Source organism: Homo sapiens, chromosome 9 (genome assembly GCF_000001405.40).
Source record: "Homo sapiens chromosome 9, GRCh38.p14 Primary Assembly".
In the NCBI taxonomy this organism is placed as follows: Eukaryota; Metazoa; Chordata; class Mammalia; order Primates; family Hominidae; genus Homo; species Homo sapiens.
Window position 1 is genome coordinate 68,440,614 of NC_000009.12, and position 27,177 is coordinate 68,467,790.

Here is a 27,177-nt window from a genome sequence, read left to right on the forward strand (position 1 = left end):
TTAAATTAAATTAAAATGAAAATACATCAAAATTTGTAGGATGCAGGTAAAACATTGCTTAGGAGGGAAATTCTTTAATATAAGCATTAAGAGCTTATATTTATAAGAGAAAGGTTTCACATCAATAAACTATGCTTCTACTTTAATAATGTAGAGAAAAGAGAATAAATAAACCCAAGGAAGGAATGGATAAAGATAAAAGTAGAAATCAATGATAATGAAAACAGGAAAACAATTTAAAACACCAATAGAAACAAAAGCTGGTTCTTTGGAAAAGTAAATAAAATTGATAAACCTTTAGCAAGACCAACAAAGATGAAAAGAGAGAAGACACAAATTATAAACATCAGGAGTAAGAATACTACTGTAGACCCTTTAGACTTTAAAATAATACTAAGAGGACACTACAGACAACTCTTCATGAATAAATTCAACAACTTAGATGAAATGGGCCAATTCCTTGAAAAATACAAATTATCAACACTCACCCAACATGAAGTAATTTGAATATTTCCATGACTATTAAAGAAATTGACTTCATAGTTTAAAACCTTCCAAAAAATCCTAGTGCAAATAAATATATTGGTGAATTATTGCAAACATTAAAAAAATTCTAAATAATATCTTCCAGAAAAAGGAAGAAGATGGAAAATCCCCAACACATTTTATGAGGCTAGCATTACCTGACACTAAAACTAGACAAAGATAGAATTTTTAAAAAAGAAAAATATAAACTGATATTCCATAAATATAGATGTAAAAATCATTAACAAAATATTAACACAATATATCTAGCAGTATATAAAAAGAAAAGTCAGTGGGATTTACTGGGAAAGTGAGGCTGTTTTAATATTTAAAAATCAATCAATACAATCTACTTTATTAGCAGTTTAAGGAGAAAGACCACATGATTACATCAATTGAGGCACAAGATCATTTGACAAAATTTCAACATCCATTCAAACTAGGAATAAAAGGTAACTTCTTCAAACAAATAAAGAGCATCTACAATAACCCTACAGCTAAAATCATATTTAATAGTAAAAGACTGAACACCTTTCCCCTAAGATCAGGAACAAGACAAGGATATCCACTTTCACCACTGTTATTCAATATTGCACTAGCAGACCCAGCCAATGCAATAAGGCAAGAAAAGGAATTAAAAGGCATATAGGGTGAAAAGGAAAAAAAATATGGATTCTATTCATAAATAACGTAATTGTCTACATAGAAAATCCAAAGTAATACACACACAAAGGTCAGAGGATACAAAATCAATACTCAGAAGTCAATTTTATTTTTATATACTATCAGTGTTCAATTGGAAACTGAATTGAAAAAAGCAATACTATTTAGATTGCTCAAAAATTAAATACTTAGCTGTAAATTTATTAAAATGCATACATGATCGATATGCTGAAAACTACAAAACATTAATGAAAAAAAGTCTAAGAATACCTAGAAGGAGAGACATACAATGTTCATGATCAACATAGTAAAGATGTCATTTATTTATAAATTGATTTATAGATTAATACAATTCCAATAAAAATTTCCACAGGATATTGATAGATATAAACAAACTGGTTCTAAATTTATATTGAAAGGCAAAGGAACTAGAAGAGGCAGAACAATTTTCAAAAACAAGAAAGCTACAGGAATCACACTTTATTTTTTTCTTTTTTTTTGAGACAGAGTTTTGCTCTTGTTGCTGGGGCTGGAGTGCAATGGCACCGTGTTGGATCACTGCAACCTCCACCTCCCAGGTTCAAGTGATCCTCCTGCCTCAGCAGGAGCCACCACCATGCCCAGCTAATTTTTGTATTTTTAATAGAGATGGGGTTTCACCATGTTGGCCAGGCTGGTCTTGAACTCCTGACCTCAGGTGATCTGTCCACCCTGGCCTCCCAAAGTGCTGGGAGTAATCACACTTTCTAATTAACAGAAAGCAATGTGTTATTAGCAAAGGCAGAGATAATGAAGCAGAATAGAGAGTCCAGAAATACACCTAAATAAATGTGGCTGACTGATTTTTGACAATGGTGCTAAAGCAATTCATATGAGAAGGTATAATCTTTTCAACATATTTAAAGAGTTAAAACAGTTAACCCAATTAAAATTATATAAAATGTTTTAACAGATACTTCACCAGAGAGGATATATGGATGTCAAATAAGAACACGAAAATGTGTTCAACATCATTAACCATTAGAAGATGCAAATAAAACTGTGATGAGATACTGCTACATAACAATTAGAATTGCTAAAATAAAAATTACTGCTAATACCTTAGTGTTGATGAGGATGCATATCATCTAGAGCTGTCATATAGTACTGATGGAAATGCCAAATGGGCCACTCTGGAAAGCAGTTTGTCAATTGCTTATAAAACTAAACAGATGCTTACCATATGACCCTGTACTCCCACTCTTATTCTATAGCTACAGAATTAAAACTGTACACAAATATTTATAGCAGCTCTATTCATAATAGCCCCCAAAATGGAAACAACTCAAAGTCCTTCAACAGGTGAATAATAAACTGTGATATTTCTATACAATGGAATACTACTCAGCAATTAAACAGAAGTACTGATACACACAACTTGGATGCATGTCAAATGATTTTGCTGAATGAAAGGAGCCCAACTCAAAATGTCACATACTGTATCATCCCATTTGTATTATGCTCAAAAAGACAAAATTATGGAGACAAAAACAAAGCAGTAGCTGCCAGGGGCTAGGGGTGGAGGGAGGTGTGTGACTTCATGAGGGAGTTTCTGTGGTTGATGGAAATGTTATGTTTCCTGATTGTTGTGCTAGTTCCATAGATCTACACATGTCAAAATTTATAAAACAGAACACAGCAAAAAGTCAATTTCACTGTAGGTTAATTTAAAACCTTAAAATATATTTCAAAGCTTCCCTCTTAATCCTAATGTGCTGTGCAGCTTGCGTACCACTTCTCTGGAGCAACTACCAATGCTAGACCTCTTTATCAACTCTCCTCCAAAAAGTTAGAACTTATTTTGGAGAATCACAGTAAAGGGCAAGTAACTTGCAGCAGAAGATAGACGGTCATTTCAAAGCAAGAGCAGTAGAGAGTCTGAGAGTCCTTTGTTCTGCCAAGTCAAACAGAAAACATAAATATTTGTATAGCTTTGTAACAAAAGAGCAATATGGGTTTTGGCAGAAAGACCTCTTAATCGCATTTAAGACTTTAAAGTAATGGAGCCCTGCTCCTATTATGTGGAAATTGCATGCAGATGTAGTGTACATCAGGGATCAGGGTCCTGTCTGAGGGAGACAATGTTAAAGGTAAAACCCAGACTGACAAGGAGGGCAATCTGTCTACTTGTGCAGATATGGTGGAGCCCATTTGCTTTTTGGCACTGGATCTTGAGGAGATTGCATGTGCTACTTAGAAGAGTCTCTCTCTTTCTTTCTTTCTTTTTTTTTTTTTTTTGGATCACTTTGCAGTTGTGAGTTCATGACTTTCTATTTTCAGTTGCACAGATAGCCTTTTAGTTCAAGGATGGGGTGTTTTGGGATCAAAGACAGAAATATTGAGCTATTTGGAATAAGTAGAGTGGTGGGCATTGAGGGAGACTGGGATTTCCAGTACTGCCTCATCCCCACCCATCCAACTGCAAGTCTCACATCCTCTCTGCTTCCAAAAGGGAGATATTTGACCCTAACTTCTCTTTCCATAGGATTCAGTCAAATGCTAGTGCATATGGTTATGATATAAGGAAATGGGTCAAGTAGAATTATTGGGGTGCTAGAAGCAAGACCAATTTTAGATTACTTAAAAGGAATGCAATGGAAGGATAAGGAGTAACCCAGAATCAATGAAAAAGCTGGTCTCAAAAATAATAGGAACCTAGGTGGTAGGAATTATGTATGGGCAATCTCTCCAGAGAATTATCTTCCAGATCAAGGAAGAAATGACATACATTTCCCCCATTCTCACTTCACTCAAGATTCAGCATTTTCTTAGTATGAGTTGAGTCGCATGCCCACTCTTTGGCCAGGCAAGAGGAGATCACCTTGAGTGACATACACTGGGGAGGGGAAAAGTTCTACAAAAGTAAACCAGTGGTCTCTTGTCTTCAGCAGGGGTTGGGTATTTGAAAGGCAGAAACAACAGCTTTCAGATCACCATGGTGGGTTATTCTACATTTTAAACTAAACACCCCTGGAGGGTGTACAGATAAGCAAAGAAGGGGTACAGGAAGGAGTGGAAAAGGTGGTGGGTATTATGGCAGAAAGAGCAATAGTTTTGGAACTAGACCTGGACCAGAACTCCCACAGGGATTGGCCTTCAGCTGGCATTACGACCCCAGGGCAAGTCAGTTACTCTGCCTGGAGCTTTGCTTTCTTCATCTAAAGACTGAAGAGGCTGAACTAGCTGTCCCCTAATATCCCTTTTTGTTACAAATCTTAAGAAATATATACTTTGGGTCTAGGGCCATAACTTAATTTCTTAGCTGAGTATAAAACTGTGTTAAACTCAATAGGATTTTTTTTTTAATGCTTATAGCAGTGGTCTTCAAATGTTAGAGTGCGTAAGAATCTTATCAGGATTAGATAGGTGGAAAAAAAAATCCCTTGTAAAATGCAGATTTCAGGGCCCCATCCCCAGAGATTCTGATCCATTCTTTCTGAACAGAACCCAAGAGTCTGCATTTTTAAACAACGTTGTCAGGTAATTCCAATGCAGGTGATCAAAGCTAAAGACCTGCACACCATCTGTTTGATTCCCAGTCCCTAGAAGGAAACCCCATCCATTGGAGCTGCAAGCACTTAGAAAATGTTTAAAGTTGAACAACTGGACATACCCTTTGAAAGCTCCCTCCTAGGCTCCCTAGATAGTGTGAGGATGCTTGGAATACAGCAGACACCAGGGTAGCCAGGGGCTCCACCGCCTGCATATTGGGACACAACGTGGAGATCTTGCATTCTCTCCTTACACTTGCTCACTCACTCTGACTCAAGTGTAGCCATTCAATAAACCCAAAGGGTAGAGAGTCTGCTGTGAGTACCTTGTGAGTTTTCCTTATTGTTCTGATCGTATGAAGACCTTAAATAGAACCTTTTCAAATTCTATGTATTTGGGCTCAGCAGTGCCTGCTTTAGTAAATTTCTGGTTGTAAGAAGTTTAACCTTCAGGCTAAACATTTACACTAAACACCTCTCATTTGGGGAGTTACACTGAAGGGAGTGTTGTCCATTGTTTTCTTACGTGTAGTTATTTGTGCTCTACCATGTATCTGGGGATCTCCAAGTGCCTTTTAAAAGTAATCAGTTTCGCATCAAGGTGTTCCTTACAGACATGTGGTTTACAAATGGTGAAGGAATATTTTTTATGTGTATAAAATGCCTGAGTCTTTCCCTGTCCACTACCTTGTATGATGCTCCATTAAAATGTAGCATGGATGCCAAGAGTTCCTTGGCTTTTTGAGGCAAGATAGAAGAGATTGGTCATTTGGCCCAGTATGTCCTTCCAAATATATCCAGAGGCCTGACCAAATGAAAGTGAATTATAACAAGGGTGAAAGTAATTTAAATAATGTCACAACTTATACTCAGTTACATCCAAGGAAACCAGTTGTGTATTAAAACCAATAAATAGTAATTTAAAAAGTAATAATTCAAGGAGGACATTACCACAATGTTTGAAATAACTATGCATATTATATGGTTTACAATGTGCAACACACTTTCCCATACATTCTCATTTCATACACCCTCTTGTCTTCGTTGCGTCCAACCTTAGGATAGAGAGTGAATAGGGAAACTTGGTCTATAGCCTCTAACAACATGGGCAAGGCCCATTAGGGAGAAGAACTCTTTGTAGAGGACTGATCCCCTATTTCTTTCTGTGTTCTGTTTAAAATGAAATTGTTGTCTCTGTTCAGAAGCCTGATTGGTTGTGTACGTGCTGTGCGTGTCTCTGTGTGTATATGTGTTTAATGGGGAAACGAAGGCTAGGAAAGGAGGGAGATAAATTTATGAAGGATGAAGTCTACAGGTTTTTATTCTTGCTTTATTTTTCACTTTCTCTAATACTGGGGTGGAGAAGCTCTGCATATACTTTGGCTTCATGAAATGTTGACATTCGAGAGAGGAATAAAAGTGTTTATTCTCTAGAGTTAAAAAGAAACTCAACTCATCAAGTGTGTGTTCTGTTCCACTTGGTCTTATAAGTCATTTGCCAGCAAGATGAGCTTTATATCGTCTCTCTGGTAAAACATCCTCCCATCTCCTGATCGGCATTCCTCCACTCTTTTGCTTCATAAATTAGAAGGGAGGATGCCATTGTAATACTTGACCTTATAAGGGGGAAGAGTGGCCCAGCCGTTCCTTAGCTCTGCCCTCCTGTCAGAACTGTATACACTCTGGAGGCCTTTTAAGGGAACGTGGTGCGTGCAGGGAAAACATCCCAAGGCAGACCATCCATTTTCTTTGCTACTGCAGAGTTGGTGCCTGCAAGCTCTGTGTGACTCTGAAGCATAAATCATAAGGGGTTGCTGGTGCCAAGCCGGAGGGAGGGACATGTCTGAGGATCATGCTCACTGCCAAATGCAGCCGACCTCTTAGTTTTCACTAAAATCCCATCTCACCACTGGCCTTCTGACTTTTAGTGAAAATTTCACAAGTTGCACATCCTGACATTACTTGTACTTGCCTCCCTGTTGTGAATTATAATGATGGCTGCAGAGAAGCAACCACTGCCTCCTTAAGGTTTCAGTTTATCCTTCCTGCGCTGTACCATTCACTTCTGTACAGTGAGGCTCGAGTTTGGAGAGAGAGAGAGAGAGAGCTGGCTTTGAACCACAGGGCTTTTTTGTACTAGCTCTGAGGCCTTGGACAAGTCATATAACCTCTCTGAGTCTCAATATCCTCTATTAAGAATGGGGAGGATAAAGGTGATAACATCCTTTTATAGTGTTTAGCACAATGCCTAACACATAGTAAATGCTGAAATGTTAGCTGTTATTATTATTATTATTACTACTAGAAGAAGGCTATAGTTTTGGTGTTTGCAGCAAGTATTTCCTACAGTTCCACTATTTCAATCCAGCACGCTTTTTATAAACAATTTTTTATAGGCAAAACATATCCAGAAATACCCATAGAGGTCCCTAAGAACATCTTGGCATGATTCAGTGTACAGAGAATGGGTTCTGGAATTGGACAGGACAGGGCCTGACTCCCTGCCCGGCCACTTACCAGTTCATAGCTTTGGACAAACTATTTAATCTCTTGGTAATTCAGTTTTCCAGTTAGTAGTCTGAGGATACTGGTTGTTTAAATACAGGCATTTGGGTTGCCAGGGGCAGAAACAAATTAAATTGGAGCAAAGAAAAAGAAAGGGTTTGTTGCAAACCTATAGAAATTTCACTGAAATAAACTATGGTTTATTTTACAAGATGGGGAAGAGGGAAGAGGAAAAGGGGCTTTGAGGGGAGGAGGGGCTTCTACTTGTAGGCAAATAGGTTGTCTTCTCCAGTAGCTTCTAATCCTAGACTCACTTCCTTCTTTGAAATCCACCTTTTTGAAGTATATTTCCCAGTAAACAAAAGTCTGCAGGAGAGGCTAAAAATCACAGAAATGTGACAGTATGTGTCCTCCAAAGGTATGAACCCTCTGTTCTGGGACAGGTCTAGCAGTAGCAACGCTCTTCCCAGGGCACCCAGGTAGCCGAGTCACCCAGGGAGGGGTTGTTTGGGGAGACACTTAGGGAAGGCTGCGTGTAGCCTCTCTTGAGACCCCTGCACCTTCATGCACAGCCTGTTCCCACTTAGAGGCTTCCACCCAGCACCCAAGAGTCATGCTAATTTCATTAACAAACCTGCATTAACCAGGACCTCTCTTCTCTTCTCAGTTAGCTCAGGGGTTCTCAAACTCTTTTTCTGTGTGCAGCCAAAGTCCACTTGCAGCAGGAGCACCACTTGCTACCTGCAGTGATTTTCAAAGCAGCTGGGGCTCTGTATATTAGAATCTCTTCACTCCTGAGTTTTTGATAATCCTTCTTACGCCCATTGGAATATAGTCCAGAGATCATTGTTCAATCAATAGGCACCCCTCAAGCCCTGTTCATTGCCAGACCCTGAACTGAGTTGATATTCAGAGAAAGACACAGCCCTTGTCCTCCTGAAGCTGCTGGAGATGCATGCAGGGGACAGCATAGTGTGAAAGGTGTTGTGGCAGAAATGCTCTAGGTGCTATGGGACAGCAGATTGTGGGCTGATTGTGTCTCTCTGGGGAACCCCAGGAGGGGCCTCTCATTCTAGACTTCTTCACCCACTTGGGCTACTATAGTAAATTACCATAGACTGAGTGGCTTATAAACAACAGAAATGCATTTCTCACAGTTCTGGAGGCTGGGAAGTCCAAGATCAAGGACCCAGCAGATTCAGTGTGTTGCAAGGGCCTGCTTCCTGGTTCATAGATGGCTGTCTTTTTGCTGTATCCTCATGTGGCAGAAGGGTCGAGGGAGCTCTCTGGAGTCTCTAATGTAAGGGCACTAATCCCATTTATGAGGGCTTCACCTTCATGAACTAATCACCTCCCAAAGCCTACCTCCTAATAATATCACGTTGGGGGTTAAGATTTAACATATGAATTTGGAGTGGACACAGACCTTTAGTCTATAGCCCTGGGGCTCTAGCTTTGCTTCCCAGAAGCTGAGACTGAAAGGACAATTAAGACTCAGCTAGCCGAAGTGAGGGAAGCAGCATCACCAAGCCCTGGAGGGCAAAAAGAATGGCTTGTCTGGGAATTGCAAGCCTTTGGAGTCCCTGGAAAGTAAAATTGAGGAGTATTTCCTCAAGAGAGGAGAGATTCTTTTCCTCAAGGTGAACTTCAGCTATGGGTGCCCTCTGATGGGGACCCCATGGTCAGAGAGCTTTCAACTCACACAGGCACCTTCCCCTACCCAAGGTAAGGATTTCTGCCTGTTAAGTGATAGCTGCATTTATGGAGTGTTTATCATGTGTCGCAACTGCCCCCATCTCTGCCTATGAGCACGTGAAGGCTTGTAGAAAAGCAGTGACTTACCCAAGTCCCCAAAGCTAGTGAAAGGTGGGCATCAGGATTTGAACCCAGGTTTGTCTACCCAAGGAGCCAGAGCTTGTTTCACTCTACTGCACAGCCTCTTTAATCTTAGATGCAGGAACTGAGGATAAGAGAGGATAAATGACTGGCTTACAAGTGTCGCAGAATTAATAGTGTAAGAGTGCAACTTCAAACCCCAGTCTGTCAGATTTTAAATCCAGTGAGATGCTTACAGCTATGGGGGTAGGGTGGGGAGGACAATTGCTTTGCTTACATTTAAGAGAGATGTCCAGGGGAGGCAAGAGTTGGACCTCAGCCTGCTGGGGTTTGACCAGTATAGTCAGCATGCTCACATGGTAGACTCTCATACCAGCACCAATGTTCAATGTCAGTTCAAGTGTGAACCCCTTTTGAGGACCTCTTAAACACTGTATGATACATGAATCAAAATTCAGCTATTAAAATTGTGAATAGAGATATACAATTGCATATGTTAATTGATCATTGTCATTTGTGTACAGTTTGTCTTAACTATTTTAAACTTGCCTAAAAACAAGAATCTCTAGAAATAAAAAATAAAAACAAAAACAAAAACAAAACAAACAAAAAAACCACTGCTTTTAAGTACTGACACCTGGGCTCTAACCAAGACCTGTAACCCAGAATATTCTAGCAAAGAGGCCCAGGAATTCACATTTTTAATTAGCACCCCAGGTGGTTCTTATTATCAAGAAAGTGTAAAAAACTTTAACCTCTTCCGAAGGTGAATGATCAAGTACCTCCAGCTCCCCCAACTCAGAATGTTTTACAGCTTGCCAAAAAGAGGGGGAAACACTGTCCAAGCTTGTTTGCTAGGTTAGGCCTTTAAGGCCACTATCTGGGAATTCCATATGTGTAATCATACTGTAAGTTTAATAAAAGTTTACATCATATGAAGTAAATTTGCCACTTTTATTTGGATTGGATATGCACATTTGGTTTCATGAGGGGGGAAAAATCCACTGTCATATTTCATCCAGCTAGAAAATATGTTATAAGTGAAGGATCATTTCTCTTTTCTGACTCTTGGAACATTGTTTCAAGATTTTCAGAGAAACTCAGTCAATAGCTTAGTGCTGGGTTAGTGTGCTGGGATTGCATGTGTCTGTATCTCATATTCGAAATCTGCATAATTAACTGCATTGGAAATTGACAGAGAAAATGTGAGCTGACTGAGAGAATTCTGGGATGGAATGTTCGGAAATAAATTTGTAGAACCTTATGAAAGCAAAAACAAGATATGCAGAATATTGTAGGAATGGTGGAGGATTCTTCCTGAAACCTTATTGTGCGAGAAATAACCTAAGGTCCTGCTGAGTTAAACTATCCTTCTGTGTCCCCAAAATACACAGCCACCTACCCACTTGAACATCCATACACAAACACATACAAGCATACACACACATACACACATGCATTTTATCCCTCATTGGCACTTTCAACCCCTTGCCTAGGACTGTTGATATTCATGAACCCACTTAAAGACCTGAAAACAATTATAAGCTCCAAAATGAAGACATCCGCAATGCCAACACGATTAACTGCGTAATTGAATATGTATAAAATACCACATGTTGTCACTTTATTCTTAAATTTAATATTCAAGAAATCACTATAACACTTTAGAATAATTTGTAGGATATATTTTCTTCTTTTGAAAGGTTTCCAGAGTGTGCGTGAGCAATATCATTGCCAATAGTTAATTAAATGAGTGACTTGTAGCCTCGTCATTTCAAAAGCAAAATTATAAAAATTCTTTCAAGTTCTTTTGGAGCAAAAGTAGATTTTTATGTGAGATGTGGACATATTTTAATATTTTTGGTATGATATGGGATGGGGCCTCATAAACACACATTCAGAGAGTTTACCACCACCGAATGCTTTTGCACAGGGCACACAATTGGAAAAAATAAAATATGCCATTCAAAGTTGGGTCTTTAACAGCTCAAAGATGGTGAAAGGCTTTCAGGGCCTCTCTCCATTGTGTGACTGTCTCTGAAGGGTGTAGTCTACTTCCTGCTACACCAGAATTGTCCTTAGGGAACTTGAGGACAGTAGATTCTACTCTGCCTGAATTCAGGTGAGGCCAATGGTGAGCTGCTGCATCCAGTTGCATAGGATGTGCACTGTGTAAGGGCACCACATACCAAGGGGGCATTATTCCCATTGCAAACACCCTACACTTGAATATTTATTATGACAGCGCTTCAGCAGATGGCATTAAAGTGTTCTGTTCTGAGAAACTCAGTGTGCTACAATACTTTTTAATAGCCATAAATTACTGGATCTTGAAGAAGGGATACCTTTAGCACAAAAGGCACAGCTTGGGCTTCAGCCCTGGCCTGACAGAGAGAGAGGTATTCCTCCTGCTCCATTCACCTTTATCTCCCTCCACTGTAGGCTGTGGGATTTTGACCTAAAGGGACTGCTCACCAACCCCCTGCCCCACCACAAGACTGTGCCCCTGAAGCAGTTCCAAGCTCAGAAGCCCTGGAGTCTTCCATTCCTACCAGCCCTTTGCCCTTCTACCACCAGCAGGCTTGCTTGTTTTCTGGCAGTTAGTCCCTGAAGTAAAAGCTCCCTGCCCTTCTCTTAGTAGGAAGTTTCTCCTAAGCACCAAGAGCCCCTACACGGAATGGAACCACGCAGACCAACATGGCCCTTGCCTCAGTCTCCAGAGAAGGGGGGAGGGTCAGTTAAGTGGCCTTCTCATCTCCCTGGGGAGTCTCTGCTTCTCCAGTTGATCTCAGGAACTTCCTGTTCTCACCAACCTATTTTGGTCTCTGTCTCCCATAGACGACTAGAACCTCTGAGAGAGGATCGGTCTCAGTGCAGGTAGCACTGCACGGGTGATCCTGAATGCAAACAGCTGCTGTTCCCATCTCCTTCCTCTTCCCCTACCACATCCTCTGGATCTGAACCCCAGAACAAGACTGCTCAGGGGAACAGAGAACATGTCACTCAGATACCAAACAGACGTACTGTCAGCCACATTCACTAGCCATGCCTTCAGCTGTCCCCACTAGGCTAGTCCCAGAGTGGATGCTAAGGCAGGGCTGCCCTTCCCTGCTGAGTTCAGAGCTTAGTGCAAACTAGGACCTGGAGGAGGGGTATCTCTGCTTCCAAGGCATCACCTTCCAACATCTCCTTTCTCAAGGCTCTTTGGACAAGACATCTTGCTGGGAATCCTTGATGTGAGTTAAAAGCATTTAACATAGTCCTTCTTCTCCCTTGCTCTTCAAAAGTGTTCAGTAGGAGTAAATTCCCTTGGACCCCACCACTATCATAGTCCTATGAAGAAAATATTGGTTGGTAAATCTTAGCCAGCATTTTCCCATGTGTGCTGAATGAAACCACCAACTCCACAAGGTGCTCTGTGTAAATGTGAGAAATGTATACTCTACCCTCTTTGTGAAGTTTTACAATGAAATGAGCATTTGGTTTTGAAATATCCTGCCAAAGTAGAGAGTCCACTTTTACCATAGTCTCTTACCTTTTCATAATAAATTTATAGCACTGGACTTGGTAAATTAACATATAAGGTTATTAACCTTTTCAGCCAACCCTTTGTATGTAATTCCTTTGGAAATTCATCCACCATCGCTTAATTTTATCTTAAACTTTCTGGTTTGGTTTTGTTTTTTGAGACAGGGTCTTGCTGCTGCCCAGGCTGGAGTACAGTGGCATAATTATAGCTAACTGCAGCCTTGAACTCCTGGGCTCAAGCAATCCTCCCATCTCAGCCTCCCAAGTAGATGAGACTACAGGTGCACACCACCACAGCTGGCTAATTTTAGTATTTTTTCTTTTTTTGAGCCAGGAGTTTTGCCTAGGGTGGTCTCAAACTCCTGGGCTCAAGCTATCCCCCCTCCTTGGCCTCCCAAAGTGTTGGGATTACAGGGGTGAACATGCTGTAATCTCCCTCCTTATCTCAAACTTTCAATCATCCCATGTATTTGCTTCCACTGGTATTTTAAGACCAAGTTCTGGAAGCACCTTTATATTAATGTAGGAGGAGTCCATGTTCTGATGGGCCCCATGAAGTTTGCATGAAATGAGCAAGTGTCTTTAAGCACTTACCTTCAAGAGACTAACGGATTAGAGAAGGAGTTAGGTGTCCCAGCATCTAAGGCAATATCCTGTGCTGAGTGTCTAACTCCTGGGGTTTGCAGTGGCAGTACAAAGAGAGGACTGGCCAGATAAACCTGGAAAGTAAGGAAGCGGCCTAAGTCCAGGAGGGGGTGGATGAAGAGTGTACTGGTGTCTTTCATTTTCCTTCAAGACCTCCACTCCATCTCTTTCTCTCTGCTCCCCGTCCTGTAGACTGACCTATAGGGACTATCAAGAGATCCCCACCCTTCCCTCCAGATTTTAGTTGGGCTTGGGCAATTGGGAGCACTGCAGTTACTAGACAGAAGGAGGAGAATGCAAGCAGGGATTTCTTTCTCTCCCTATAGGATTTCCATAGGCTGGAAACATGACTCTTCTGAAGGTCAAGGTTCCTGCCAAGCAGCCCTATCCACACAGATCTGTCCCTGGATTTCAGTAATGAATCTAGGGATGGGACGCTGGTAGCCCTGATGTTACTTGCCCTCTCCACTAGCCACACCTGTGTAAACAGTTCCTGTATTAAACTCTCAAACTACTCAGTTTTGAGTGTGCCATCAATTCTGTTGGGGACCTCATTGATACAAGGAGTATCCCTACCTAAGTGAACGATGTGTGCAAAGAACTGAAGTGGCCTGGTGCTTGAAGGGGGCTCCATCTCAAAAATAGTTTGTTATGGCAGGATGATGCCGCAGTAGGAGAGTTCATGAGGCCGATCACTCTTGCCGATGCCCACGGAGTGCTCTGGGGATCCAGGGCTCCCAGGCCTCATCGCATTTAGTCCCCACTGAGTAAGGAGACATATTATCATTCCATTTTGTAGGTAAAAGATCCAGGCTTATGGAGGTTAAGTAACTTGGCCAAGGTTGCACTGCAAGAAGGGGTGGAGCTGCGTGGGGACTGAGAGTCCCTACTCTCCTCCGTGCTAAGACATTAAACTGGATTCCACAGGCAGCGCATGTTTGCCTGCCTTTCCTGCTCACTCAGCCTTAGCTTTTGCTGTAAAACTCTCACGTCCCACAAAAGAACATTGACCTTTCCAATATTCCCTTTCCTCGTAACTATGTGTCATTAAACTGAAGTGTTTCTTTAAAAGACATTAGAGCAGAATTAGTATGGCATGACCTTTCCTTATGCTTCCTGATAAAATTAAACTCAAACCTGGGTGACCGAAGGAAACCCTGGGAAGGTAAATGCAGTCTTGAAGATGGTTCCTTTCAGGCAGGGTGGCTGCCTGTGCATCCCTTGATATATGCTCGTCTTCTCGGAACCATGCAGAGAGAGCTGCCTGTGACCTGATTTGGCTTCATAGGAAACAGCAACCTGCGTCATCCATTGGGTCACAGATCAGAGTTACACGATGAAATGAAACAGGTGGAATGTGGTGTTCAATCCATGGTATTCTGAACCCACCATGGACAGCTGACACTCACATTCCCAAAGGGAATGCAAAGTTTTGCATGTTGCCCTGCTCAGGGCATCTCCGCCTGGAATCGGTAGAGTTTTGGCCCTGAGAGATATTAATCTATTGTCCAAAAAACAGGAACTCCCTAAAGAGAGCCAAAAATAAGAACCATACCCAGGACTGATGAATTCTTTTCTGTGATATTGGTGGACAGGTTAGCAGGAGAAAAGGAAGGGGAAATGTTCATAGTACACAAAGTATAAGCATCATCTCTTAGTTAAAAAAAAAAAAAAACAGGAAAGGTTTTGAGTTCTATTCATGTAAATAAAAGGCACTAAGAATCTTGGGAAATGTCCAGGCTAATTAATTACAGTTGGCTTCAGGAGCATGCACAGACTTGCCTTCTGCCATCAGAGGCATAGTTATCGGGGAGGGTAGATCTTCCAAGTTCCTCCACAGCCCTGGTGGCATTGGTGGGTTCTGGCTGCTTCTCTGAGCCAGGTGGTGGTGTGTCTCTTCATTTAGTCTCATTAATTCTTCAGTGTTGCAAATATCTGAAACCTGTTATTAAAGAGCTGGAACGATATCCCACTAGGTTTTCAATATGGACTATTGATGAAGAAACAGTAATTGGAATAGCAGGGGTCTGAGATAATATTGCAAGACAAAAGAACATACAATTTCTTTTTTGTGGCTCTTTTGCATTCTATAATTTGGTGGCCTTGGACTATGGCTGTTTGTCGCTGTAGAAATAAACTACAGCTTGTCTAGTGCCTTTCTGATGGATAATAGGTTGCTTCTGATTTAGCTCTATTTCTCTTTCACATATAGTGTGGTAATAAACATCCTTGAACCTCATCTTCTTGTGCGCGTGTGTTCAAGTTTCTCTAGGAAAGATACCAGAGAGGGGTTTGCTGGATTATAGGGCATGATCAAGTCTACTAGGAATTCTCAAACAACTCTGAGTGTAAAGTGAGTGTACCAACTTATAATCTTGCTGTCTTTTTTTTTCTTTTCTGTTTTCCCATGATACTTCACCAACATTTGGTATTAGATTTTTTCTTTTTTTTTCTTTTTTTTTGGGGGTGGGGGGGTGGCAGGAGGGACAGAGTCTCGCTGTGTCACCCAGGCTGAAGTGCAGTGGCGAGATCTTGGCTCACTGCAATCTCCGCCTCCCAGGTTCACACCATTCTCCTGCTTCAGCCTCCCGAGTAGCTGGGACTACAGGTGCCTGCCACCACGCCTGGCTAATTTTTTTTTTTTTTTGTATTTTTAGTAGAGATGGGGTTTCACCCCATCAGCCAGGATGGTCTCGATCTCCTGACGTCATGAGCCGCCCGCCTTGGCCTCCCAAAGTGCTGGGATTACATGCAAGAGCACTGTGCCCTGTCCTTTTTTTTTTTTTTTTTTTTCCTTGAAACAGAATATTACTCTGTCACCCAGGCTGGAGTACAATGGTGCAATCTCGGCTCACTGCAGCCTCCACTTCCCGGGTTCAAGTGATTCTCCTGCCTCAACCTCCCAAGTAGCTAGGATTACAGGAGCCCACCACCATGCCTGGCTAATTTTTTGTATTTTTAGTAGAAATGGGGTTTTGCCATCTTGGCCAGGCTGGTTTTGAACTCCTGAACTCAGGTGATCTACCCTCCTCGGCCTCCCAAAGTGCTGTGATTACAGGCGTGAGCCACTGTGCCCAGCCTCTTTTTTTCTTATTTGGCTAATGTGATGCATGTGACATGATACCTGGCTGTTATTTTAATTTTCATTTCCCTGATTTACTATATATTTTCATATTGGCCAATCAGTCTTCTTCTTCTGTGACTTGCTTAGGTCATCTGAGTTTTTCTTATCAGTTTGTAGGACTTCTTCATTTAGATTAGCCATTAATCCTTTGATTTTATGCATTGCAACTATCTTCTCTCAATCTATGGCTTACTTCTTTTTTTTAGTGTCTTTGACAAATAGAAATTTTATAATTTTTAATGTGATTACGTTTATCAATCTTTTTCTTATATTTAGACCCAACTTATAGAATATTCTGCCCATTCTTTATTCCCCCCTCATAGAACATGGGACAGACAGTGAGGTCCCTGTGGCCTTGCTGAAACAGAATCCAATATGAAATACCATAGCAAGGAACAGGTATTTGCTTTGGGAACACTGATAATGCCATTGTATTTCAGTGGATACCCATGCCTCACAGAATTACTCTGTTACTCATAGAGTAGTGAAGCAGCATTATACAAATACTAGTCTTCTCTGTTCTTTCTTCTTCTTTTAGAGTGAGTATCCATTTATAGTTGCTGTATATTCATTTAATGTCCAGTGCCTAGATGTGTCCTTTCCCTCATGTCTTATGACATAGATTCAATAAGATTTCTATAATACTATCTAAGAAAACATGCTAATTGGATATAGAAAAGAGAACAAACAAAAATAGTTTAAGAGACATAAAAAGCTTTGTTTTACAGAAATGCTTTATCTCCTGGGTTGGAGCTGTCATGTCAGTAATTATCACTTTTAGTTTATAGGAGTGAATGAACTGATTTTAAATCTTCCAAGAGTATTATATAAGTCATTTTTTTTTAAGCTTCAGTAAGAGGTCTGTATAACTTGGAAAATACAAAGCAAAGCAAAACAAAACAAACAGATAAGAAGATGATTCATGTCTTGCTAGTCTGGGAACAATCTCATGGAAGCCTGAAGGATAGCTGACAATTAGCTCTTGACTATCTCTCAACTTAGCTGGAGCACTTGAGACTTAAAATTCCCCAGCCCTAGACCCTCGGCAATGTATTTTCTTTGAAAATAACCAGAGCCAGGAACAGCTTACATTAAAGTGCTCAAGCATCAAGGCTGTAAACACAGACAGTTGTTAATTCCCCAGATGTAGGGGTCCAGATTATTTAACAGTTGAAGAGAGTGAACCTGTGGTAGTTTCAATTTTACATTTTTTTTTTCTTGGATCTTTGGTCAATTTCCTAAAGCCAAGTTTTTCTTCTTTCAATTAAAGTTAGGATTTTCAGAAATCTGCCTGCCTATGTTGCCTAACAAAATTTAAGATCTAACTGGGAAGAGTCCTCTTCTTTTCCCCATGACACCTACCTAAAATGAAAGTGGAGAAGCTTCTAGGTAAAGCGGCAAAGGCCCATGGGGTTGGGGTCCACCTTTATTTGTTTTATAATTGGTCAAACTCTAGAAGTTTAGAGATACTATGAGACATGCAGTTATCTTTTGCTTTTTCTTTTAAATATTCTTTAAATGATATATTTAGTTCCCTTTGGTTTAAGTGAAATGTCCAGTACTAAGAGCAGTGATAATATCGCAACTCTGTAGGCCATTTTGCAAAATTATATACTATCCCATTTGAACCTCACAACCTCTCTGATAAGACAGGCAAGGCAGGGGTTATTTAATATGTGGATTTTGAAGTTTAGACCAGGCTGAAATAATGGAGGCCCCAGGATTGAATAGCACTGTGCTAAAATTTATATATATGGTTGAAAAACTTTTGTAGTTATCTTATTTTGATAGCCTCATGTTTTATGTTCATTTTATTAATACCTGAAAGTGTGAGTTGTTCCATCCAAAAAATGGGTTTAAGAGTAGATTTTAAGATTGCTATTAGAAAACCAGGTTTAGCTGAACTCTGCCTCATTCATATATGAACCAGGTAGGCTTTCTTGAAAAGGCTTTTAAAGTGCAAACTCATATAAGCCTTTTACCATACAGCAGCCCCAGCCAGCAGTGCTAGACATCAAAGAAGGGATCTGGGAGTGAACTCATCAATGTGAAAATATTGAAGAGCTAACTTGAGGGCTGTTGTGTTTAATGTCTGTTAGACATTAACCAGCATATCCAGGATGCTATTAAACTCCATCTTCAGTAGTTTGTTTCTTGGGATTGTGTAAACATCACTAATTCAAACATGCACTTAGTCATAAACACTGCAGAGAGCTTTTTCTTTTAAATATACTTTTAATTGAAGTATAATGGACATACAGAAAAGGCACAACTCATAAATGTTTACTTCAAGGAATTTTTCACCAAATGAACACACCCGTGTAACTACCATCTGGATCAAGAAACAGAATAGCACCTGAAGCTTCCTTGTTCCCCATTCTGATCATTTATTCTCTCTCCTCCTGAGACGTAACCACTATTCTGACTTTTCCCATCAATGATGAGTTTTGTCTATTTTTGAATGGTACATAAATGAAATCATAGAGTGTATATTCCTCTGGGTCTGGCTTATTTTACTCAATGTTATGAGTATGACATTCATTCTTGTTGTTTCATCTAATGGCAGGCAGTTCATTTTTGTTGTTCTATGGTACTCCTTTGTGTGAATACACCACATTAAATAAATACACCACAGTTGGTACTAATTTGCATCCCTTCAACAGTACATTAGGGCTCCACATCTTTACCAGCACTTGGCCGTACCACTCTTTCCAGCTAGTCTTGTGGATACATAGTAATATTTCACTGTGGTTTTAATTTGCATTTCCCTGATCTCTAGTGATGTTGCATTTCCCTGATCTCTAGTGATCTTTTCATATGCTAATTGTTATTTGAATATGGTCTTTTGTAAAGTGCCTGTTCAAAACTTTTGCCTATTTTTTTAAGGTTATCTGCCTTTAAAAAAAACTAATTTATAAGAGTTTTTAAAATATAAACTGCATGTAAGTCCTTTGTTAGATATATACGATGCAAATATCTTTTTCTAATCTGTGTATTTGAGGGTCTTAAAAGGGGTCTGAGAGTTCAGTGTGTAGAAAATAGTACCATGGGCCCTTCTTGGCTCTTAAGAAAGTGGACATTTGAAGATAGAGGAATGGAAGAGAGACCTGGATCTTGTGCTCTTTAAATCTATCACAACTTTCTTGAAGTAGGATTCCAAGAGCAGCTGGATATGCCTCACACACTTGATATGATCAGTCTGTGTTTTTTTGGCTACTCTCTTGCAAGGTAAACAGAGCCATCAATATATGATATTCTGGTAGACTCTTATCATACATAATGATATAGTGCTTTGGGTTAATAAATATTTGAATACCTACTATGAGCAAGCACTGGCCAGGACACTGGAGGTGCAAAGGTGGATATGTCAGCACCCCTGTGCTTAGTGAGCTTTCAGGGCACTTTTAAGGTACTTTTGTATCTACTATCCTGTTTGATCACATAAGGGTAGGGTGACCATCAGACTGGTCAGATAAAAATAATGTATCCTTTTGCTCCTCAAACCTTTGAGGATCATTTAGTCACTGCCCCTCATTCTGTAAGAACTGTCTTTCTAAGATATGCCTTTGCCACATCCTGATAGCCTCACTAATTCATACCTGGAGAAATTCTTTTTTCTCAAAGTGACTAATTTAGATAAAGCATGCAGAAATGACTTTATATTTTAAAGAAAGCTACAAGAGTCAAAGACCATAAAATAGATTTACTTAGTCCCCTGCTATTTAACAGCCCTTTTAACAACTCCTTAAATAATATTTATTAGTCAACTGAAATCATATAGCATTTATTGAGGGCAAGTCTGGAGAGGCACTGTTTTATTCTAGACATTGAAGGAGCCATGAAGACATACAAGATGCAATTCCTGCGCTCATGGAAGTTCTAGCACATTGGTGGTGGTGATAGTGTTTGTGTGTGGAGGGAAAGTGTTCAGTAAGCACACAGCATATTCAAGAACAATGTGAACATAAAGACCCATACCACGGAAGCTCCGCAGCAGGAAGGGTCACGTTGGATTGATTTCAGTGATGAGGAAAGGACTATACTCATTAAGATAGTGTCGCTGCTACTATAAAAATATCCCCAAGATGTATAACCACTCAAACACATAAAAAGGTGTTTTCAATCCCCTAAAGTTAAAAACAGGTGTTCCTGATTCATAGTTGACTCTGTTCCAAATGGTGATTCAGAGATCCAGGTCCTCCCCTCTCGTGGGTCAGCCGCCTTCAACACATGGCTTTTAAGATTGCTGGGCTTGTCCACATCAAGCTGGCAGAAGGAGAAAGAACATGGAAAATGGAAAGATCTTATAACCAGATCTGAAAGAGGAGTTCCATTGGCTAGAACTTGAGTTTCATTGGCTAGAACTCAGTCACATGGCCACAGCTAATTTCAAGGGAGGTTGAGAACTACAGTCCACCTGTGTGTCTGAAAAGATGAGATGGATTGTTGACCACGTAGCAGTCGTTGCCACAGGTTTTGTTATGGTCTGGATGTTTTTGTCACTTTCAATATTCATGTTGGAACTTCAGTCCCTCCAAAATTCAGGTGTTGCCAATGTGATAGTATTCAGAGATAGGGCCTTTAAGAGGTGTTCAGGCCAGGAGGGCTCCTTCCTCATTAATGGCATTAAGACCCTTATAAAAAAAGCCTTTACACAGCATTTGGCTAGCTTTTCCTGCTGCCTTTGCCATGTGCAGCAAGAAGGCCTTCACCACACCAGATGCTGGTGCCTTGATCTCAGACTTCCTAACCTCTAGAACTGTGGGAAATAAATTTCTATTTTTTATAAATTATCTAGTATCAGCTATCCCATTATAAGAGCACAAAATGGAATAACAGGCTTTATGCTGGAAAAGCATTTAAGGTAGGTCTTCAGGCAACTTGAAGTATTCTGACAGACGTGGGAAAGGAGGATTAATCCAGGAAAAATGAATAGCATAAAGAAGGACTGGGCAGTATACAACAACAAAATTTAAGGGCATATTTGGAAAATAGGAAATCATTCATCTTGTTAGCAGCATAGAATACATAGGGAGTAGTGTGGGAGAAACTGTTGGAAAGCTAGGTTGATGCAATTTCCAACCTACGTCACATTTTAGGAGGTTTTAAAATTCTGACTAAAGAGTTATATCCAGCATAGTTTTCAGGCTCCTTCTCACTCGCAGGAAAAAATGTGGCCCAGGTTACCTTTCTTTTTTTCCCTTCACACTCTGGCCTTTCCTAGGAAGTGAGTTCTCATGTTTATCTCCCCGACACAATGGCAAGCAGTTAGGGAGAAGGGTTCAGCCCCTCAGCATGGGCAGCTTCGTTTTCAGCTTTTGTACTAGAGAATTTCAGAGATTCCAGGGGCTTTCTGCCAAAAACCCATCTAATGCATGGTATCTGCTGAATGCTGTGTTTGGGATGAATCCCAAGTTCAGGAGAGGGAGGAGAGAGGGAAATTCCTTTTTGACCCTAGGACACAATTAACTCATACCCAGGATCCTGGAATTTGATTACCCATATTGTTATTTTGGCTTGGATAGCTGCAACTGTGGCTCATAGTTATAAAAGTATCCGGTCCTTTAAAATCCAGCCGCAGCTTTCAGCTTGATGACCTCCTGACTGATTAATTGGAAAGGGTGGGAGCTGGGGAAATCCTTTTCCCTCCCTTCAGACCTGCCAACTTGGCTTTGAACCTACAAGAATGTTTTGGTCAGAGAACATACATCCCCACACCCCGTACCCTCCCTCTCACCCTCACCTCTGCCCCATGTTGCGCATTTTATTTGTTATCCATATGCATTCATCTTTGTTGAATTAACTTTGACCCAGGCTTGACTATGTGCTGCCCCAGAAGGCTTCTGTGTGACTTATTCTCTCTTCCTTGAGTTTCTGATGATGAAATTCATGTTATTCTGACCTTCCATAGCCTTCTGACCATGAAAATAATGTTATTATAAAGGTAAATGAAAATTTACCTTTGCTGTATAGTTTGTGGGTGGTTTCTTTCATTGTTCCTACCAGAATGTAAGCATGATTCTATATCTTTCTTAAACCATTGAAAAAGAGAGAAGACGGAATATTTGAAGTAACAGCTGACCACCTGAAAAGTGCTTTTCAATGCAAACTGGAAGAGGCAGCCCACAGTTTTTCAGTCCTGAGCACATTCATTGTATTTGGGGTTTGTGAAAAGGGAGGTGTTCACCTTCCCATGGCAAGAGTTTCTAGATGTTTTTTTTTTTTTTCCTTATTTGACCACAAAGCCAACCTAAAGGAATCATTACTATGCGGCGTATTTTATCCTGTGTTTGTCTTTCTTCCTCTTCTTTCTCAAGACCCTCATTGATCCCACTCTACGGTCATCCCCTGCACTCACAGCCTTCAAATAACTAAATCTTGCTGTTCGTAGGCATTTGGTGTTTTTCTCTTTCAGTTGCTAGCTCTGGGGAAGATGAAACTCTTCAGGCCAATGTCTGTGGTACCAGCTCATTCCCTAGCCTGCTTTGAGATCTACATCCTTCATGAAGCACTAAGACATTTGAAGAGACAGGATGGTGTAATGGAATGGAACATGAGGAGAAATTAAGCAGATCTGGGTCCCAATTCTAGCACTGCCCCTTACCTCTGTGAAACTTTGAACAAAAACTTGACTTCTCTGAGCCTGAAACTTGACAGCATTGATAAGTTTTCGCTGTTTTTTAATTTTATCTAAGTGGAACAATACAGTATATACACCTTTGTTACTGATTTCTTTTACTTAATACAGATGCTCTTTGACTTAAGATGGCATTGCATCCTGATAAACCCATCTTAAGTCAAAAATATTGTTAAGTCAAAAATGCATTTAATGCTGGCAATACAGCAGACAGTCTCTGACATATGACGGTTCAACTTAAGAATTTTGACTTTATGATGGTGCAAAAGTAATAGCCATTCAGTAGAAACCACAACCCCACCATAAGTCATAGGAGCTCCTCAACTTACGATGGGATTGTATCTGGATAAACCAATCATAAAGGGGAAAAATTGTAAGTCAAACCATCATAAGCCAGATCCTGTCTGGGTTATATTTATGAGATTCATTCAAATTGTTGCATGCGGCAATAGTTTGCACAATAGGATTTATGGTATTACATTGTATATCACAAATTATTTGTCCATTCTACTTTGATGGACATTTGGATTGTTTCAGTTATTACAAATTGTGATTCTATGATCATACTTGTAAAATCTTATATATACACCCTGTTGAGCAACATTGCACACTAGGTTCCCCAGGAAGCAGCTCTAAGAGATATTTGCTTTCAGGAAGTTTATTCCTTTCTGCCTTTAAGATCAAAGTTGCATTCAAGATCAAAACTTATAGGGGAGTGAGGAAGGAGGATTGAACACAGAGAAGTTGGATTGAAATGCAGTCACAACAAAGGCCTCAGCCAACTTGTGGGGAGCTCTGGAGCTGAAATGGCCCTCTAGAGTTGTGCAAAATTTGGGCAAGGAGGCCAGGCCTTTATATATCCCTTTATACCAGTCATTGCATGTGGATTAACCCAGGCATGGGAACATGATTTGGGGTGACACATTTCTCTTTGGCAGAGAACAGGGGCCACATCTGCGAGCTGTCAGCAATCAGCCTTCCTAGTAGCTGGTAGAATGCATATTTTTATCCTAAAATGTCTAAAGTGTGTGTGTGTGTGCACACGTGTGTCTAAGGGGTAGTAGGTGAGTGGGTGGGGGTAAATCTGAGCAGTGCATCACAGTTCATCTTTAGTAGATACTGTTAAACAATATTCCCAAGTGTTTATGCCCAAATACCCTCTTAATTTAGATTCTGATATCCCCACATGGACTCTTTCCAAAAAGATAAAGAAAAATGTATAGAAGTGAAACAAATGTAAAAAATATTCTGTATATTAACTTATTATTTTCTATATGGTGGAGAAAGCAAAATTGAGAACCATTGAAATGGGTTGTTTATTATTTTCTAACTTATGGCTTGATATCCTGAAATCTGTCAACACTACCCAGGTTGTTCTGAAATCTAGCTATGGATTTAGTAGATCCTAAAGACTTCCTACTGTGCTGAGAAAAAAAAACAGAAAATGAAATATATGAATTGACTTTTCTCAAATTTCATTTTTCAGAGTGGCCAAATCAATGAAGGTCCCTGTATATGAGACCCCAGCTGGATGGAGATTCTTCTCAAATCTGATGGACTCAGGACGTTGCAATCTGTGTGGGGAAGAGAGCTTTGGCACTGGTAGGCTTTGTTGGGTTGATATTACTGGGGAGGGCGGCTGCAGCCTTTTGTGATCTCAGTTTGGAGATCTGTGAACTTTCTGTGAATTACAGAGGAACAGTTAAGTAGAGGCAAAAAATCAGAGAAACCTAGTAGAGTATGTGCTGTGATATGCTTACCTCTTTTGTCCATTTTGTTTCTTCTTTTTAGAAATTTCTCTTTCTTTAAAAATTTCTATTATGGAAATCTTTAAAGTGTATAAGAGTAGAGAGAATATCGCATTGAATCCCCATGTTACTGTCACTCCCATTTCAACCACCATAAACTTGTGATCAATCTTCCTTTATCTCTACCCTCATCCGCAGGGGAACACTCCTCCCTGATTATTGTGAAGCAATCCTCTGTAGCTCATTGTTTTATCCGTAAGCATTTCAAGATGAATCTTTAAATATAAGGGCTCTTGTTCAGAAAAACCACATAACCACAGTACCATTATCACACCTAAAATGTTAAAAACGTTTTCTTTTTTTACATACTTTAAATACTTCATCCAGTTGTTTTCTGGCTTGCATCATGTCCAAGAAGTCGGATTTAATTTTTATGTTTATTCCTCTATGTAAAGTACTCTGTGTAAAGTACCCCCCAGTCTCCTGCCTTTGGCTGACTTCAATATTTTTTAATCTTTGATTGTCAAAAGTCTAATCATATTAATAATGTGTCTAGGGGTGTATGCATGTATGTATTTAACCCTATGTGGGATTCTCTTGAATTCTTGGCTCTGTTGTTTGTTGTTGTTCATTAATTTTAGGAAATGCTCAGCTATTATTTTTTCAAATATTTCTCCTTCCCCATTCTTTGTCTCTTGTCCTTCTGAGGCTCCAATTACACATGTGTTAGATAATTTGTGATGACAAATGAGCTCTTACATTCATTTTTCTGATTTATTTCTCCCCTTTTTTCTTCTTGTGTTTCAGTTTAGATCGTCTCTATTGGAACATCTTTAAGTTCACTGATTCTTTCCTTAGCTGTGTCCAATCTGCTGATGAGCCTGTTGAAGGAATTCTTCTTCTCCGATACTGTGTGTTTTTTTTTTTTTTTTAGCATTTCTCTTTGACTCTTTTAAAATAGTTTTTAGTTCTCTGAAATTCCCCATCTGTTTATGTAATTGTTTATCTTTTTCATTAGATCATTTAACATATTAGACATGGTTGTTTTAAACACCCTGTCTGATAGTTCCAATCTCTGGTTCATCTCTGACTTTGGTTCAGCTGATTGCTTTATCTCTTGACAATGGTTTGGGTTTTCCTGTTTTTTGTAGATCTCATAAATTTTTATTGAATGCTGAATAATATGTGGATAAGAACAGTAGATATTCAGGTCAATTGTATTTATGCCTAGAAATGGGTACAACCCTTTTTTGGGGCAATTAGTGTGGAAGGTTAAGTTAACCTAGTCAAGCGGTGATCTGGGTTTGGGTTTTACTGTTTCTGTTTTAACCTTCAGTGTACCACAGGCCTCAAATTCCCCCAGCAGTGGCATATTTTTACTGGGTACTGGAACTGGGGAAGGGTACTGGAGAGGTTTTTAAGTGTTCCTGTTTCTCCCTCAGTTTTCAGTAGTGACTGCAAGTCTGTAACACAAAATACAGTTCTATCTCCAGGGTCTTAAACTTTCCCTGGTAGCAGAGACCTCTGACTAGTATTGGTGCAGGATTCTGAGCACAAGTTTTCCTACCCTCTCCCCAGAGGCAGAAGAGTTTTTACTTTTGCCCGTCTCTCAGAGACAATAGATCTCTTTCTGGACCTGGGGATGAGAAGGTTTTTAGCGTGTACACCTAGGAACATAAAGCATTTGTTTCATGTAAGAGAAGGGTTTGGGGGAGCAGAAGGGCTTCATCCTTGTCTCCCAGTGACAGCTGATCGTCGCTTGCATACCTGTACCACCAAGTTTCCTTCTTTGTTCCTAATTTTTTGTGAGGACCCAGTGGAAATCTGTGGAAAAGAACTTAAAAATGTGCCCCTTGTATCTGGAACCCCAGGTGATTTTAAAGTAATGTAAAGGCCTATACTAGGCCTTTAAGAATTTTTTAAACTCTTACATGATTTCTTATTATCTGGTTTTTATGGCAGCCTCCTCTTTCTCCTATGCTTTGCCAAAGCTGAGAGAATTTTCAGGATCTGTCTCTCCTTGGAGTGGCTCTTTGGAATTCACTTGACTGTGTGGTCATCTCAGATCTCTGAGTTCAAGAAAACTTACCATGTTTGAGATTTCCTGGCCTTTTACCATTGCTAGGATGGGAATAGCTTTCTCTTACTGATTTGCATATCCTAAAGAGAAGTACACAAGTGGAACTCTAAAAGTAATTTCTTAATAATTTCCTCTATCCTCATTTTCCCCCTCCCCATTAACAGTTTGTTCTAATTGGATCTAAAAGATCTTACACTGTAATTGGCTGATATGTCTCTTAAGTCTCTTTTAATCTACGTTTCTCTTCTTTACATTTTGCCCTTATTATTTATTCATTGAAGAAACTGGGTCATATTTCCTATAGAGCTTTAAAATTGCTTTGATTTTGATGCTGCTGTCCTAATTTTCCTTTCTAA

General features: G+C 40.0%; 1 protein-coding gene across 2 annotated transcripts in view; it reads left to right on the forward strand.

Annotated features, from left to right (window-relative positions):
- PGM5 (phosphoglucomutase 5) overlaps positions 1–27,177 on the forward strand; it is a 174,451-nt gene that overhangs the window by 84,003 nt on the left and 63,271 nt on the right. For both annotated transcript variants that reach the window (NM_021965.4, XM_047423473.1), the window contains exon 7: positions 24,480–24,595. In NM_021965.4, the coding sequence (NP_068800.2) occupies positions 24,480–24,595 (116 nt within the window). The remainder of the gene's footprint in view (positions 1–24,479; positions 24,596–27,177) is intronic.